This window comes from Homo sapiens, chromosome 2 (genome assembly GCF_000001405.40).
Source record: "Homo sapiens chromosome 2, GRCh38.p14 Primary Assembly".
Classification (NCBI taxonomy): Eukaryota; Metazoa; Chordata; class Mammalia; order Primates; family Hominidae; genus Homo; species Homo sapiens.
Window position 1 is genome coordinate 177,078,796 of NC_000002.12, and position 17,644 is coordinate 177,096,439.

Below are 17,644 nucleotides of genomic sequence, written 5' to 3' on the forward strand. Positions count from 1 at the left end.
CAGTGTTGCCAGCTCCTCTGATTTTCCCACAGAACTCAGAAACCCAAATTTTTGTGTAAAGTCACTGAGTTTTTAAACATAATTGGACAATTTTAATGTGTTTTTAAATTATATGAGTTAAGTTACACATGCCCTTGACTATGGGCCTGCAGATAGGACCTATAGATGCCAGTTTGCAACTCCCACCTTCAGCCCTGAAGATGGCGGCAGCTGCTCCTTTCCTGTCACTCCATTGCTCCATTACATGGTGCTCTCTCTCAAGCCTCTGTCCCCTCCCCTTGGCTTTTCCTCTGCCTCTCTTCTGTTCTGACTCATGTCATCCTAATTCCTTCAGCCCGCACCCTCACTCCCTCCTCTAATGCTGTCCTCGTGTCAAATTTCCATTATAATGATGATATAAAAAGACCTGATCCCCAAATTAAACAAAGCAACTTATGAAAAATCAAAATGAGTAAAGCTTTCAAATCTTGCATTAAAAGGTACCCAGTAGACTCCTCTATCCCTATGGGCACTTTATAAGTATTAATATTTCAAATGCTCATGATTGAATTGAGTTTATTTTTTATTCCTATTGGATGGCACCTCATACATATGCTGTCTGCTGTCTTTTCTCTTTAAGTTCTTGAAGTGAAGAGCCCTGTCAGCGCCCCCTGTTCAACCACTCCACTTTCTTCATGCCCCCAGCTCCTCTCTGCAAATATAAAGCTGTTAACACCTCAGAAGTCTCTCTTCTGAGCTGGACCACAGTGGTGCCTGGGGCTTCCTTGGCCTCCTGGTGGTTCTGTCCCTTCAGCCCTGCTGTGATCAGGAGCTCTCCGTGAGAACGGTGCAGCTCTTTATGCAGCACCTCAGTAATGCAACTCTCCACCTGCACTAAGGCATGTGCAGCCCTCATTTTTTGGGTCTGTCACAATTTTTGGCCATTTCACAGGGCTAGGATGTCAAAAATAGGGCTAATCTTACAGCTACAGAGAGTAGGCAGTTGCCTATATAATGAGACGCACCCAAGTAATACAATAAAATAAAAACTTAAAACATCCCCACCTGTTCACTATGACTGAAACCTCAGGCCAACCTCTTCATTCCACCACAGAGGTGCAGGAGTCTCTGTCCTGGGAAAAGCTTCCACACACTAAAGGCCATACAGAAGGGCAACTACTGATGTCAGGCATGTCCCTGAAAGCAAGCTTGATTGTGGGAGAAACAAAAGACATGGGGCCCCTGAAGCAGGTATAAGGCCCCACAGAGGGGGTGAAGCAGGTGGTTATGCACTATTTTGCCTGGAGCTCAGCCAGTGCATGTGCCCACCAAGGCAGGAGAGTAAGAATTTAGGGAAGTTAGTTCAATCACTGTGGAAGACAGTGTGGAAATTCCTCAAGGATCTAGAACAAGAAATACCATTTGACCCAGCAATCCCATTACTGGGTATATACCCAAAGGAATATAAATCATTCTATTATAAAGATACATGCACACATCTGTTTACTGCAGCACTATTCACAATAGCAAAGACATGGAACCAACACAAATGCCCATCAGTGATAGATTGGATAAAGAAAATGTGGTGCATATACACCATGGAATACTATGCAGCCATAAAAAGGAATGAGATCATGTCCTTTGCAGGGACATGGATGAAGCTAGAAGCCATTATCCTCAGCAAACTAACACAGGAACAGAAAACCAAATACCACATGTTCTCACTCATAAGTGGGAGTTGAACAGTGAGAACACATGGACACAGGGAGGGGAACAACACACACTGGAGCCTGTCGGGGGTGTGGGGGAAAGGGGAGGAAGAACATCAGGACAAATAGCTAATGCATGTGGGGCTTAAAACCTAGGTGATGGGTTGATAGGTGCAGCAAACCACCATGGCACACATATACCGATGTAACAAACCTGCACATTCTGCACATGTATCCTGGAACTTAAAGTAAAATTAAAAAAAAAAAAAGAATTTAGGGAAGTACTTTAACCTTCCTCCAGTCATTAAGACAAGATCAAAACCCTAACCCACCTTCCCCAACCTCTCAGCATTCACCATATTTAAACAGGCAACTCTGGAGACAGATAAAATCTACTGCAGTCTCATGCTGGTAATTCCTTAAGCTGAAGACTTGAAGGCAAGTCCTTTCTCATGGAGGAATTTCACTTTCCTGGTCCAACAGAGATACAGCCCAGAGGGCAAACTCCCCAGTTGGGCATAATTCTTTGGGTGAAATGTTTAAAAGAGTCCTGACAACATAGAGCAGCAATTTCCATGCAAATGTGTGCCTGTGGGGGGAAAATGCAATTGGCCCAACAATCTTGTACTGATGGTGCACCCCCTTCCCACTCCACTGGGGTGTGGAAACATGACTTGAAGAAATCTATCTATTTGTTCAGCTTTTCTCCCTCTGAGCGTGCCAAACATAAATGACTTCTGTGTTTCAAAAGAGGTGCTTGCTCCACGCTGCTGCTCTGTGTCAAGGACTACGTGGAGATGAGAAGCTGTAGTCCCCTCCTTCCCAGTGAGGCTACGGGAACAAAGGCAGTGTTTTTTTGTTTTTGTTTTTGTTTTTTTCAGAAAGAAAGAAAAATATGGCAGGACATTGATGTTTTTTGAAACAAAAAAGGATGATTAACAATGTGGGATTTACAAAGAAAAATAATAGTAATAATCTACTGAACTTGGTGAATGCCACATGATCACAGTGCTTCAACCGACCCACCCACCTCAGCTCTGATGGCCGCGGGCCACCTGGGACAGTGGTGGATGTAGTAGTGGAAAGAGCTCAGGACCAGGAGATTGTTCTGGTCTCTGCCACTTAATTCATGAATTTAAGATGAATTAGGGCAAACTGAAATAAGCATGATGGGGTTGAACTAGCTCAGGGGTCTTCAAACAGGGGTACAGGTACACATGCCTTGAAGCATTAAGACTTTGCAAGTAGCACATGGGCAGAATCAATCGCCAAATCTTCCATTTCAGCAAATTTCTTTCCTGCAATTAATCTGCCTAAGATTGTGCCACAAATACTTTTTCCCCAATATTCCTTTTCCTTCTTCGTAAAAAAAAAAAAAAAAAAAAAAATTAATATCCACCTCAGTCTTCAGCCACCACAGTCTGACTGAGGTACCATTTTCCTGGGGTGCAAAAACCTCCATGGCTCCCTCTGGAGGGAGAGTCCTCAGAGAAAAAAGCAAGGGGGCTTCAGAAGGAAATATGGATATTGAAGAGAGGCAAAAAAGTCATGACAACCCTCTGCACCAATATCCTTCCTTTCTTCTTCCTTCCCTGTCTCCCTCGTTCCCTTCTTTCATTTCTTAGAACTAGAATTCAGACGCGAGAAGGTTCCAAAAGGCCATGTTCTAATACCTTTATTTGAGTTTTAAAAATGTAATAAGATTTTTTCTGACAGAAAGTGAGTCCAAATTGGCAGAATGGCTTGACAATAAGGACTAGCTTTGCCAATTAATTTATATGATGCACACTCTCCTTGAATTTAATGAGCTAAAGCTGCAGCTCCAATGTTCAGATGAAAATATACTTTAATCATGGATATATCTAAAGGATACATCATCTAATGTACACTTTGCAACTATTTAAATTTATGATAAAAAATACTTAGATGTCAACTCGGAAAGACTCTTTCAAAATTATTTTATGGAATACATGAGAAAAGTCTGAAGTCACAAGTCTAATTAATTCTTGTCAAGTCAAACTGCCTGTGAAATTCCTTGGCCTCTTCTCTTTCTCCCTCTCTCTGTATCCAGCCCTATCCCCCACTCTCCTAACCTCCCAAACATCTCAACCACCTTACAGAGGAGGGGGCTACAACAAACAGGCTGAACATCTCAACTTATTCAGAAAAAAATAATAAACTGGTTTTGTTCCCATTTCCCTCAATGGATTAATTTAGTATTTCCTTCCCACAGGTAAGAAATAAATATGTTATTCAAGGTCAGACAGAGTAACAACCTATCTTCTTAACTTTCTGTTTGTAATGAATACCATTAATACAATTCTCTTTTTTGTCCACAATCACCACTTCTGGGTGTGAAAATCAGAAGAGAAAAGCACATAGGAATAGATATCAATATACAGATATCTCCCTTTCCATTTGCTTGAGTAATGGAAGGCCACAGTGGTAAATGTTTCAATTTTTACCAGCAACCCTCAGAAAAGGAGACAAACTCCCCAGTGACTCTTGGTAGCTACACTACCCAGCTGGTTCTTGCTCTAGACAAAAGTGTTTTAATTTTGTGCATGGCCCCCTTGGTAGTCAGGGGAATCCTATGGACCCCTTCTCAGAGTATGTAAAACAAATGAATAGGATTGCAAAAGGAGCTAATTATCTTGATATACTCTTATCAAAATATTTTCTAAAACATTCTGGTGCATAGTAATGCATGTGCTTTTTCAGTAACATTAAATAGCAAGTGTCAGTGGCAGGAGTAACAACTATCACAATTTTAAAGTAGTGATTGGTATAAATGATATTTTGAAATATCTGCAACCATTATAATGTTATATGAACATATCTATAATTTGGTGACAAATTCACAAATATCGTTGATATTACTGGGGCTTGTTGCTTGTATACATCATAAAAAGTGATGTTAAATTTCAGTTGGAGTTCAGTGAAAATAAAGACAAGTTTTTTTCCCATCCAAGTTCATGGATACCCCGCTCAAGACAAATTGTGATGGAGGCAATATTTAAAAGGCCTGCTCCCCTTTCCCTTTGGCCCCTTTACTCTTCTGGCTGTCCCTTCCTTCCCAAGGTACCCACTCTGCAGTAGCTTTAGTTAGTGTTACCTGTCGTGATGGCTCATGAGTAATAATCACTATTCCTTGACTGTCTACCATTTTGCATATATCATTTGTACACTTTACAACAACCCTCCAAAGCATTTTATGAATGGAGCAATTAAAGCTCAGAGAGGTTAAATAACTTGTTCAGGGCAACAAAGTCGAAGATTTGGGGGTTTAAACTCAGGTCTCTGTAGCTTAAAGCTTACTCCCATTTTCACTGCACTACACTGCCCCCTAGTATGAAGGAATCTTGGAATTTTGTTGTTGTTGTTTTGTTTGTTTGCTTGTTTGTTTGTTTTTGAGACAGTTTTGCTCTGTCACCCAGGCTGGAGTCCAGTAGCATGATCATGACTCACTGCAGCCTTGACCTCCTGGGCTCAAGCAATCCTCCCACCTCAGCCCTCCAAGTAGCTGGGACCACAGGTGTGTGCCACCACACCTGGCTACTTTTTTTGGAGAGATGGGGGTCTCACTGTGTTGCCCATGCTGGTCTCAAGCTCCTGGGCTCAAGTGATCCTCCCACCTGGGCCTCCCAAAATGCTGGAATTACAGACACGAGCCACCTCATCTGGCAAAATCTTGGATTTTAGTAGAGAGTTTCTTAAAACCCAGTACTTCCCATAAATCAATTTCTAATGGAATTTCAGGGATCAGCAAAGGTAAACCTACTTGGAGATGAGGAGTCCACCCTTCCATCTTTCTACACAAGTGACCATTCTCCTCACCCACCAGCCCACTTCTGCAGAGAGGGAAGGAGCTGGGCCAAATCGCAGAAATGTACCCACCACCTTTGTGAGGTCTGCATGAGTTATAGGACATATGGACAAACAGAACCCTTTTATATTTTAGGTGGGGGGGAAAGGGAGACTGAGGAAGGACATTTATTGCCTGACTGCCATTCCAGGAAGGTTCTAGATGCATTCTTAAAATGTTTTAATTATTCCCAACACAGTAAAGAAACTATTATCCCTACTTTGTAGAGCAGGAACTGAACACCAAAAAAAGATTAAAGAAAATGAAATGTAAAGAATCTCCCCAACCCTATAGCTTCACAATAGCTTTCTGTCGTTATAAGCAGATTTCACAAATCCTAGAAGGAAGCAAGCACTGGCTGAAGGAAGAAGAGTATCAAAAACACTCTTTCACAATCTAAGTTTGCAGACAACTTGAAAGCAATGTCCCTGCACTATTAATAGACTGTAACCTCCCCAAAGTAAGAGACCATGTCCCTGGCGTGTCTGTACTCCACAGAGGAGATTCACGGTGATTGTTTAGTTGAACTAAGGCAGCGCTGGCCCATGAACTTTCTATGTAACTCTTCAGAGCATCCCAGGCATTTCTTTGCCAGTAGAGGACACTCAAAGTTTCTAGCAAGTTGATTTCCAAAGTCATAAACTTTCTGGACAATGCTGTATTCATTAATCATTGAAATGGGATCCATCTTTATCTAATCCCTTTCTCCTCTCCTACCAAGTTTCTTGGCAGTTTAAAGCAGATCTGGTAAGTACTGTACCCACCACAACCACTGGATTACATCCCCCATCTGGCTTTTTACTAAGATTTGTCATGGTCAAATATGTGGTATTCTATTGAGTGCGTTAGAAAATTAAGATAAATGACAATAGATTTACTCTAACATCTTTTATACTACAAACATTATTTGTAAAATTCTGCACTAGTCTCTAGCTAAATTTTCTCCAGTCTTCCTTATCTAGTGTTAATTCTAAGAAACCATTTTTCAATAAATATTTATAAGCACCTACTATGAGATCTGTACTATTCTAAGTACAAGGAGTAGGGAAGAGGTGAATGCATTCATCTGATTACAATACAATGTGATAAGTGCTAAACAGCAGTATAAATGCAACTCAATGAATGAATGGAGAAGTTATACATTTACATAGTACTTCACATTTTTAAAATTGCTTTCATATAGTGTTTTCCTCAACACCACATCTCCTTCCCTATGTGGTAGGTAGGAAAGATATTATGACCAAACTTTATCAAGGTTGCAAGATTTGCCCAAGTTCTGACAGTGTATCAGTAAGAGAACTAAAGGTAGAGTCCAAACCACAAAGATCTAGCCCAGTACTTGAGTCTCTACTTTCACTACTCATTCCTTTCTCGGGCAGACTACTTTCCCACATAGCCAATGTCATTCAATAAAACTGCACATTAAGATATTCTGAAATCTCACAATCCCACTTATGAAGGAAACCCTTGAAGTTCTACATCTCACTCCAAACTTCCACATGCAATTATTCCACCAGGCCAATGAGTGGGAATGGTCCATAAACTATGACTTCTATCCTCAGGGGTTCCACTTATCTATTGCTATGGAACAAATTATTCTAAAACCCAATGGTTCAAAACAACTACCATTTTATTATGTCATATGATGTTGCCTGTCAGGAATTTGGACTAGGCTCAGCTGATGAGCCCACATCGTTCCACAAAATGTTGATGGTGATCACTCTGCTGTATGCAGCTGGCAGATGGCCAATGGCCTCAATCACATGTCTGACACCTTGTAGGGAAGACAGATTGTTGTAAAGTTGGACTTAGCCAGAACTATCACCAGAGCATTTCTATGCAGCCCTTCTAGTATGGCAGCCTTAAGGTAGTCGGACTTCTTACCTGGAATCTCAGGGCTGAAGAGTGATAAGGCAGAAGCTGCATGGTCTTGTGATCCAGCCTCAGTAACAGCCTCATGGCATCACTTCCATCATGCTTTTTTGGGCAAAGCAGTCACAAGTCTGCCCAGATTTAAAAAGAGAGGACACAGAGCTCTATCTCTCCATGAGAAGAGTGTCAAAGAGTTCGTAGCCACGTTATGTGTTTCTTATATTAATTTATAATTCCTCTTCTTGACCAACCGTGGCCAAGAGAGTTGCCTCTGTTCCAGTCCCAACCATTTCCTCTTCTTATGTCACCCAAGATTGCTAGCCCTCTTCTGCCTGTTCCGCACCTACTACATGTTCTTGTCTCCTGCAGTGTCATGCTGGATGTTCACATCCTATATCAGGACCTATATTACACAAGGTTCTCAGTCTTTGTCTATGGCTGCATGAGGTATACACTAAGGTATTGAGTCTTTCTTAATTTTGTTTAAAGGTGCTATTGTTGTTTGTTTAGTGCCAAGAATGGCTGCTCTCTCCATTGGCACTGCTTTCGCACTGTTCAGTTCCTGAGGCATTCTGCAGCTTCCTTATATACATATCAGCTCTGCATGATCTTTGCCAACTTAAAATTGTGCTCTCAGAGTAGGGTCTTTACTTGTCCTAATAGAATTTTTTGCTCCCAACAGTACGCTTGGGACAAAACTGCAAAATAGATGAGAATACAAGCTCTGGAGTCAGAAAGATCTGGGTTTTTAATTACAGCTCCACCATTTACTGTGAGATCTTGTCCAAGCTACTTAATATCTCTAAACCTTAGTGTCCTCATCTGTAAAATAGAGACAAAGGTATACACTTCATGGAGTTGTCAAAAGGATAAAGAGCATTGCATAGACGAAGCCATTATCATATTGCCTGGTACTTGGTAACTATAGTAATAGTAGCACTACTGGTAGTATCGATGGTGATTAACAATATCTGACTGATAAAGGACTACAATGGTTTAAAGTGCTGATAAAGATGGAAATGGACTTTTACACCTCCAATCTTCTCTCTATAGATACTTAAACTGAACTTAAGTAAAAATGTAGACATGCACACAAGTATACACATACCTGCATGTGTCAAGTTAAAATATTTATATTTTATTTTATCTAATAAAATATTTTTATTTTATACAGATATGTCAAGTTAAAATATTCATATTTCCCCTTTTCACCAGGTGTATTTTATTTATATTTCTTAAATGTCCATGTAGGTGTTTTCTGTCAGTCATTCATACCAGCATTTCAAGTAATTTTTACTAAGAGAATTTACCTGTCTTAGAAAAACATTCAGATGCAATTGTTAGGTTCAGCTGCTCCTAAAGAATACAGCATGATGAAAATGTCTCTAGAGCATCATAAAGAAACATTTCAATATTTAAGATGGCTGGATTGACTCCAAGGACTGAGAGACAGTCTGTCTATCACCAGCTCAGCTTCAGAAATACAGTTCTTGGCTCCAGTTTGCAGTTCAATGTATGTGATCAGTGCAAATACAAGGTGAATAAATCTTAAAGATACTGAACTAAGTTATTTCTCAACACAAGAACACAAGGGACAAGACATTCTTGATTAGTCGATGTCTGAGCTAGTATTTCATCTTGGACTAGCTGATGTGAAGGTTAATGTTATTGACTCCCTCTTTGAATCTTCTTTGGAGAAAAGCAATATTCTGCTTTGAATTGGTTATTACAGCAACACACTCCCCATATATAAGATCTGTCAATATTCCTTCATCTGGGAGATTCTTCAGGTCTAAGGTTTTACCGGTCATGACGTGAAGTAATCTACGTCACAATTCACGTGCAATTCACTTCACTTACACAGTTCAACCTTTCTGAACAAGTGAGAATCTTCCCAACAGGGACTATATTTACCTGTCATACATCCACAGCTGTGCAGAGGAAATAGAGTGGAGAATAGAGTTCAGGGCATTTTAGAAGCTCGGAAAATTTGTTTCTCAAATAACCAGTGAAGGATTGGTGTAAACATCGAAAGTTCCTAGGTTTGATGCAAGTACAGTATGTCAATTCTCTAGGGCTGCTATAACAAAATACCTCAAGCTGGGTGGCTTAAACAGGAGATTATTGTCTCAGTTCTGGAGGCTACAAGTCCAAAGTCAAAGTGTTGGCAGAGTTGGTTCCTTCTAAGGATTATGAAGGAGAATTTATTCCATGCCTCTCTCCTAGCTTCTGGTGGCTCCAGGCATTCCTCGGCTTGTGGCAGTACAGTTCCAATCTCTGTCTCCATTTCCATATGGCTGTGCTTTCCGTGTGTGTTCATGCCATCTTCCTTCCATGCATGTCTGTCTCTGTGTCCAAAGTTCCTTTTTGTATAACCTTTATACAAGGTTACCAGTCCATTAGAGTAGGCCCATCCCAATGACCTCATTTTCACTGTTACCACTGTAAATATGCTATTTTCAAATTATTTAAGATCATGTTCTGAGATATGGGGCGGGCCGGGGAGGGGGGAGGGGGTAGGACTTCAGCATATCTTTTTCTTTGCATGCTTACAGGATGCAAAACTCTTGAGCCAAACAGAGTAAGGAAATGACACAGTCACTTTCCAGCAATGTAGGCCCAGGAAAAATACCAAAGTAATACAAAAGATTCAATTCTATCCTGCAAAAATTATCTTTTCATTGTTTAATCTCCTTTTCTGAAAGCTACCATTAACATAATTTCAGTTTCAATCCTTGTGATTTAAACTTTTTTTTTCCCCTAACAGAAGTAGTTTCTTCTGTTAGGTACAAGATTCCCCCAAGTTTTCTATGCCTTTTACTTCATTAGCAAGAGGGTTTGGTATAAACTGCAACCAACTCCTCTGCATTTTATTTTGCAGAGAGAAATAGATGTACATGGTAATTATCATTGGGCACGAGTTAGTTATAAATTGATGAAATGTCTTCCAGACATTAGAAAACTGACCTCATCATTCTCAGAAGAATGTTTTTCCTCTTTTCACCTCTGTCCTTCAGCTTCTTAGAACCAGCACCATCCAGGAAGGGTTTAAATAAGAACCTACAGTAGTTATGATGTTCCTAGGCCACAAATATTGCCTGTGCCAAGGATTAGGCTCCTGGAAACAGACTTTCAGTTTCTGTCAGGTATCCTTCAAGAAAGAACACTGTGAATCTGGGACTACCTCCTTCCTTTACCAAAAGTTCATGTTTTAAGCCCTTGAACCTCCTAAAGGACTAGGTGGCCACTACCACATTAGAAATGAGACACAAGAGACTAATTAATAGAAAACATATTTGAATCCAACTTTGGACTTAGTGAGATTTGGAGATTGTACTTCACAGCAGAAGCAATAATGTGAAAAGTAAAGCCAATATAAGAAATGCTTAGGTTACCTTTGTAACTGCATCTTCCCCCAGATTGTGTGTGAGTTTTGCATATTCCAAAGTCAGAAGAAGAATAATGGCTCAAGAGACATATAAATACTAGAGGCTGGGCGCAGTGGCTCACACCTCTAATACCAGCACTTTGGGAGGCCAAGGCGGGCGGATGACAAGGTCAGGAGATCGAGACCATCCTGGCTAACACGGTGAAACCCCGTCTCTACTAAAAGTACAAAAAAAAATAAAAATAGCTGGGTGTGGTGGTGCACGCTTGTAGTCCCAGCTACTCAGGAGGTTGAGGCAGAAGAATCGCTTGAACCTGGGAGGCAGAGCTTGCAGTGAGCCGAGATCGCGCCACTGTACTCCAACCTGGGCGACAGAGCGAGACTCCGTCTCAAAAAATATAAATAAATAAATAAATAAATGCTAGAGAGAAACCCAGTCTCTAGAACTTACAAGTCAGAGTTACAGAATTATAACGAATTCTAACAAATTTTAAAATGAAATGCCAAAATCAAAGGACCACTTAGTGACATCTTATTTTTACCTGAATAATTGACATCACAGAAAATCAAGTTGTGGAAGGTACATCTGCAGTAACAACAGCCCCAGATTTACGTACAACACGTGGATTTCTAGATCTTTCTAAAGGTGCCAACATGTGCTAGATGAAAGAAAAAGAAGTATTAGAATCATCTTCCCTAAACATGACTGATAAATTCCAGAGAGAAAAGCCAGTTAGCTTAATGGTTGTTTGGCTGTTTCTGCTATAGAGTACTGGTTTTACATATTTTTATTTCAAGTGAAATTGTAGCTTTGCAATACATACATTTTATGACATCTCATAACATTGATGTGTCATAACTAGAATAATTGTGTTGCACGATCTTAAAACTAAGACAGCCCTTAACAATTATCTATCTTTTTTTTTTTTTTTTTGAGATGGGGTTTCGCTCTTGTTGCCCAGGCTGGAGTGCAATGGTGCAAGCTCAGCTCACTGCAACCTCCGCCTCCCAGGTTCAAACGATTCTCCTGCATCAGCCTCCCGATTTTCTCATCACTAGGAACTGCTCCTGGGATTACAAGCATGCGCCACCACACCCAACTAATTTTGTATTTTTCGTAGAGATAGGGTTTCTCCATATTGATCAGGCTGGTCTTGAACTCCTGACCTCAGGTGATCCACCCGCCTTGGCCTCCCAAAGTGCTGGGATTACAGGAATGAGCCACCATGTCCAGCCTAACGATTATCTATCTTTTCAATGTGGCTTTTACATACATGATTACTGTGTCTCACTTGAGCTTCCAATGACTCTGTAAGGGAGATAGAATGTTGTTCACTTGAAAACTACAGAGGTCCAGAGTGGATGTGGGACTTGCCCAAACTCACCCAGAGGACAGGGCCACACCTGGGCACTCCACACCCCTTCCATCCTCTTTTCATTTCTATTTCACATCCACCCCACTTCCAAACACTGTGCTCAAACACTTCAGCACCTGAATCACAGTTCCTCTCTCTCTCCTGTCTTTAACCATTACCCAAAATAACAGCATCATCCATCCACGTTGACCACAGAATCTGCCAGCAGCTCTTTCAACTCCGTTGCATGTTCGCCACAACTTTTATTTTCTCATCACTAGGAACTGCTCCCCTCTAAGATCGCTAGTCAGTCTCCCTTTCTGAAACAATCTCCTCACTTTCTTCTCCCGCTCCCAATGTATCTGTTCAATCTGCCTTTTGCCACAGTCAGTAAAAAAAATACTGATAGAGAACCTAAGAAATAGATGGAAGACCAGCTAGACATGGACACAGGCAACACTGAGTTTTACCCCTCAGCCTAGCCCACCCCTCAACCACATGGTCTCTCCCCATATGCCAATCCATATCTGCTCAAAAGACCTTAATTTTCTCCCCAGCAATGGATGGTCATTTCAGCATTACCCCCTGCAGCATCCTACAATCCCTCAATTCCTTAATCTTCCATCATTCCAATCCCTAAATCTGGATTATTTCATATTTCTCATTCTCTACTCCCAGATGACCTTGCTGCTAGATAAGATCATAAAACTATTATGACTAGGTCCACCACAAATTCAAATTCTCCAGCTTGGTCTAAAACTTTTAAATAACTCTGCAAGACCCAAAGAGAACCAAAGAATGGGTAGATGTTTTAAAGATGCAGATTTTGGTTTGAAATAAGATGGAAACATATAACCACGTTAGTTAACAAGCAACCAAAAAATAATGAGCTCAGCGTTACTGTTGGCATTTTTTTTTTTTTTGACAGAATCTCTGTCACCCAGGCTGGAGTGCAGTGGCGCAATCTCGGCTCACTGCAAGCTCTGCCTCCTGGGTTCATGCCATTCTCCTGCCTCAGCCTCCCGAGTAGCTGGGACTACAGGTGCCCACCACCACACCCAGCTAATTTTTTTGAATTTTTAGTAGAGAAGGGGTTTCACCGTGTTAGCCAGAATGGTCTCGATCTCCTGACCTCGTGATCCACCAACTTCGGCCTCCCAAAATGCTGGGATTACAGATGTAAGCCACCACGCCTGGCAGAGTCTTGTCCTTGTCACCCAGGCTGGAGTACAGTGGGGTGATCTTGGCTCACTGCAACCTCTGCCTCCCGGGTTCAAGTGATTCTCCTTCCTCAGCCTCTGAAGTAGCTGGGATTACAGGCGTGCACCACCAAGCCTGGCTAATTTTTGTATTTTTAGTAGAGATGGGGTTTCACCATGTTGGCCAGGCTGGTCTCATACTCCTGACCTCAGGTGAGCTGCCCTCCTCAGCCTCCCAAAGTGCTGGGATTGCAGGCATGAGCCACCGCACCGGCCTGTTACTGTCGACATTTAAGTGGACTTCAGATCAGAGGTTCCCGGACATAACTGATTATAAGAAATACCTGCAGAGATTTTTTTTGTCTTTGAGACAGGGTCTCATTCTGTCATCTAGGCTGGAGTGCAATGGCATGATCATGACTCACTGCAGCCTCAACCTCCCACGCTCAGGCAATCCTCCTGCCTAAGCCTCCCTAGTAGCTAGGACCACAGGTGTGTGCCACTATGCCCAGCTAAGTTTTTTATTATTATTTGTAGAGATGGGGTCTCCCTGTATTGCCCAGGCTGGCCTCAAACTCCTGGCCTCAAGGCATTCTTCTGCCCCAGCCTCCCAAAGTGCCGGGATTACAGGTATGAGCCACTGCACTGGCTGAAATTTTTTTAAAATACAGAATCTCAGGTCCCACTTCAGACCTAATGAATAAAAACCTCTGGGAGGTGTTGATTTCTAAAGCTCCCTAGAAGTTTCTGATGCAGCCAACCCATAGAATGACATTAGGTTTCCACTGGGCTACACTACTGATTGTACCTTTTCCAGGACACTATGAAAGGGATTGCTTCACTGAGGGGAAATCCAGGTTGAATGGTCTGCCTTTACAGTTTATTCCACTCCTTACTTTCTCCTCTACTTGAACCTGAAGGCTGTCAATGTTGCCTACTGCTTAAACTCTCTTTTTGTCCCACTGTGGCACTTACGGCTCAACAACCTTACGCTCCTAGGCAGCAGTCTAAGGTTCCTGCCAGAAAGTCTCGAAATGACCACTATGGATGTCCGTGTGAATCCTGCTCATTGCACCTCCACCGACATGAAGCTCACACCATCTCTTAGTTTTCCCACTAGCATGGATGGGATGCTCATTCTTCATGCTCCAATGCTGTCTTGCCTCATTTATAATGACTTTATGTTAGTCAAAATAAATGTTTTTTCACTTCTGCCCTTATAGCAAAAGTAAAAGCCAGATGAACATCGCATCTTTGCTGGACAATACTTCAATACATTTGTAGCTGCGGTTGGCCTCGGTGGACTCTATTGTAGAGTGCAGCTTATGTCACTGATTTTGAAACATCTTTATGGTCAGTGAAAAGATCAAGCATTACCTCCAGTGATGGTAAGAACCAAAGAGCCAGTTCCAGTAACATCCATGAGTATGACTCATACGTCTGACCAGTTGATTTATAGTAAATCTCCCCTGCATGTATCTTGATAAAAGCAGAACTTTCAGGTTTCCTTTTTTAACTTAATGTTCCCTACCAAGGCTTTCCTTTTCATACTTTTCAGTTGTCAAATTATTCAAATTTATACTTTTGCTCATTTACTATGGATATGATTGACTACATAATTCTTTTAAAAAGTCACCTGCAAATATAGTTACCTGACCCAATTTAATATACACATGAAAAAAATAGGTCATACTCTAAACATTGTCTCTTCTTGTCTTTTTTCATTAAATTGCAAAAGATTTCATACAGGTCAGCATAGCTGGCACCTCCTTACTTTCATTTCTGTAACCATTTTCTTTATTATTGATAACAGTTGTGACAATAAAAATAGTAATAATGCCTGCCTGCCTGCCTCCCCAAGAGCATAAACGTCTGGGTCTCTAGTACAGGCAGGCACTGAAATAAACAACAAATGCTATGTATCCTTTGTTTAACACCTTGAATGTCTTAACCAATTTGCCTTTAGTTACTATGCATTTCTAACAATTCTCAGTTACTAAAGGCAAGAGAGTGGTTAAAAAATTAAATTAAAGTTGCCTTCTCTCTTTTTTGTCCATTTCACAGAGCAGCCTCACATTTTCAGTCTTTCAAGTCTCACGTACACATCACAAATCCACTGAAACTGGATAAACACTAGAGAAATAGTTTAGTTCTCTTTTCAAGGAAAAATGAAGGTCAGAATTTGTGCAGCAGTTTTGCCTAACCTTGGAGGTACCTAGAGAAGATGGATTAGCTAAAAGTGAGCTATTTCTCTGAGGAAAACATGAGTTTCAGGCTCACAATCTGGACTGTTCTCACCCAGAATAATTCACCCTTCCCTTATTAAATACGCCTTTTGGAAATGTGACTTCATCCCTCACTATCCAGTGAAATAGGCATTGACTGGCTGATTATTTCTAGCATCACACTTACCTGTCAAGAGGCAGCTACAAGATGAACAGGTCAGGAGGTATACATCAAGTTCTTCTGAAACATAGAAAAATTAAAATGATTAATAAAAGCCCCCATTTGGCCTACATTTTATTTTGTATTCCATTCCATTTACTAAACATTGATGGAACTCTTATTGCCCCAGACAAAGTTCCCTTGAAAGTTGAAGCTGAGGCAAGGCTTAATGCTAAACTTTATTGGGAGGTGTGATCCCAGGTCAGCGTGAGTGATGGGAAAGAGAACTGCTGCAGGTTAGCAAGGGAAGAAACTACAAACTGTTGCAATGGCAAATCAGCCACTTCACAAACAGACATGCTCACTGGGATAGGTTGCACAGAAAGTTTTTCCATGGACTAGTCCATCGTGGGGTGGAAAACAGAAAAAGAGATTATCTACCAACTCCCTCACATCTCCTGCATCCTGGGGCCTTACAAGTCAGTTGCCATCGCAGCCTTTGGAGTAGAAGAAGAGGACCAAAGCTCTAGGGAGACAGGTGAAGGCCAGAAAATCTCAAGTGGCACACAAGAGGCATCTGGTACACTTATCATGTGCAATAAATGTCTTCTATGCCATTTCCTAGTCTAATATGACTATCAAAATTAAAATTTACATACAATTAAACACATCCTACCTATATGTTCAAATCACAACTGTCTTAGTCCACTTTGCATTGCTATGAAGAAGTTTATTTGGCTCATGGTTCTGCAGGCCATACAAAAAGAAAGGCACTAGCATCTGCTTCTGGTGAGGACCTCAGGACGCTTCCAATCATGGCAGAAGGGAGGGGAGCCAGTGTGTCACAGGGTGAGAAAGGGAGTAAGAGAGAGGGGTAGGAGGTGCAAGGCTCCTTTTAACAATCAGATCTCACATTAACTAATAGAATGAGAACTAAGTCGTTACAGTAAGGATAACACCAAGTCCATCATGAGGGATCTGCCACTATTACCTAAACACCTCCAACCAGGGCCCACCTCCAACATTGGGGATCAAATTTCAACAAGATGCTTGGAGGGGACAAATATCCAAACTATGTCAGCAACTAAGAAAATGCCTTCTGATCAATGATTTCTTTTGAAGACCTATGTAATAATATACGATTTTTTAAAAAATTATTTTCACCTATGAATCTCATTTATATTTCAATGTTTCAAAACAACAAACAAATAAAGAAAAAAAACTTTTTTTTGAGACAGGGTCTTGCTCCGTCACCCAGGCTGCAATGCAGTGGCATAAGCATAGCTCACTGCAGCCTCGAACACCTCAGCTCAAGCAGCACTCTTGTCTCTGCCTCCCAAGTAGTAGGACTACAGGCGTGCACCACCATGCCCAGCTAGTTTTTGATTTTTATTTTAGAAGCAGGGTCTCACTATGTTGCCCAGGCTGGTCTTGAACTCCTGGCCTCAAGCTATCCTCCCACCTCAGCCTCCCAAAGCACTGGGATTACAGTCATAAGCCACTGTGCCTGGCCAGAAAAAAAGCATTTGATCTCCTTCTGGAGAACTTTCACTGGTTAAAGCCCCTTGAGACTAGCATAATTAAATAAATATTATATCGGGGCTTATAAGGAAACACTGAGAAACCAAGTGAGCTCTCAAAGTGCCACCTGTCAGAAAGGTGGTTAGGAAAGACTCCGACTTCCTCAACAGAGTCATGCAAGCAATATATTTGCTGTGACAGAAGAAAGAAGGAGAAATTTAGGAAGAATAAACTACTCCCTTCCATAGTATACAAATAAATTATTTGTATGAAAGTAATATGAGCAATGCTGCAACTATGGTTATAATACTTTAAGTCTGTCTTACAGAGAAATTTTTTAAAATCATCTGCCTGAAATAGCTTTTTTATTA

At 41.2% G+C, this 17,644-nt stretch overlaps 1 long non-coding RNA gene across 3 annotated transcripts in view; it reads right to left on the minus strand.

Moving 5' to 3' along the window:
* LOC105373760 (uncharacterized) overlaps positions 1-17,644 on the minus strand; it is a 101,257-nt gene that overhangs the window by 14,542 nt on the left and 69,071 nt on the right. For all 3 annotated transcript variants that reach the window (XR_001739795.1, XR_001739796.1, XR_923622.2), the window contains 2 exons: positions 15,780-15,833; positions 11,356-11,472 (listed from right to left, as the gene is read on the minus strand). This is a non-coding gene — a long non-coding RNA (uncharacterized LOC105373760). The remainder of the gene's footprint in view (positions 1-11,355; positions 11,473-15,779; positions 15,834-17,644) is intronic.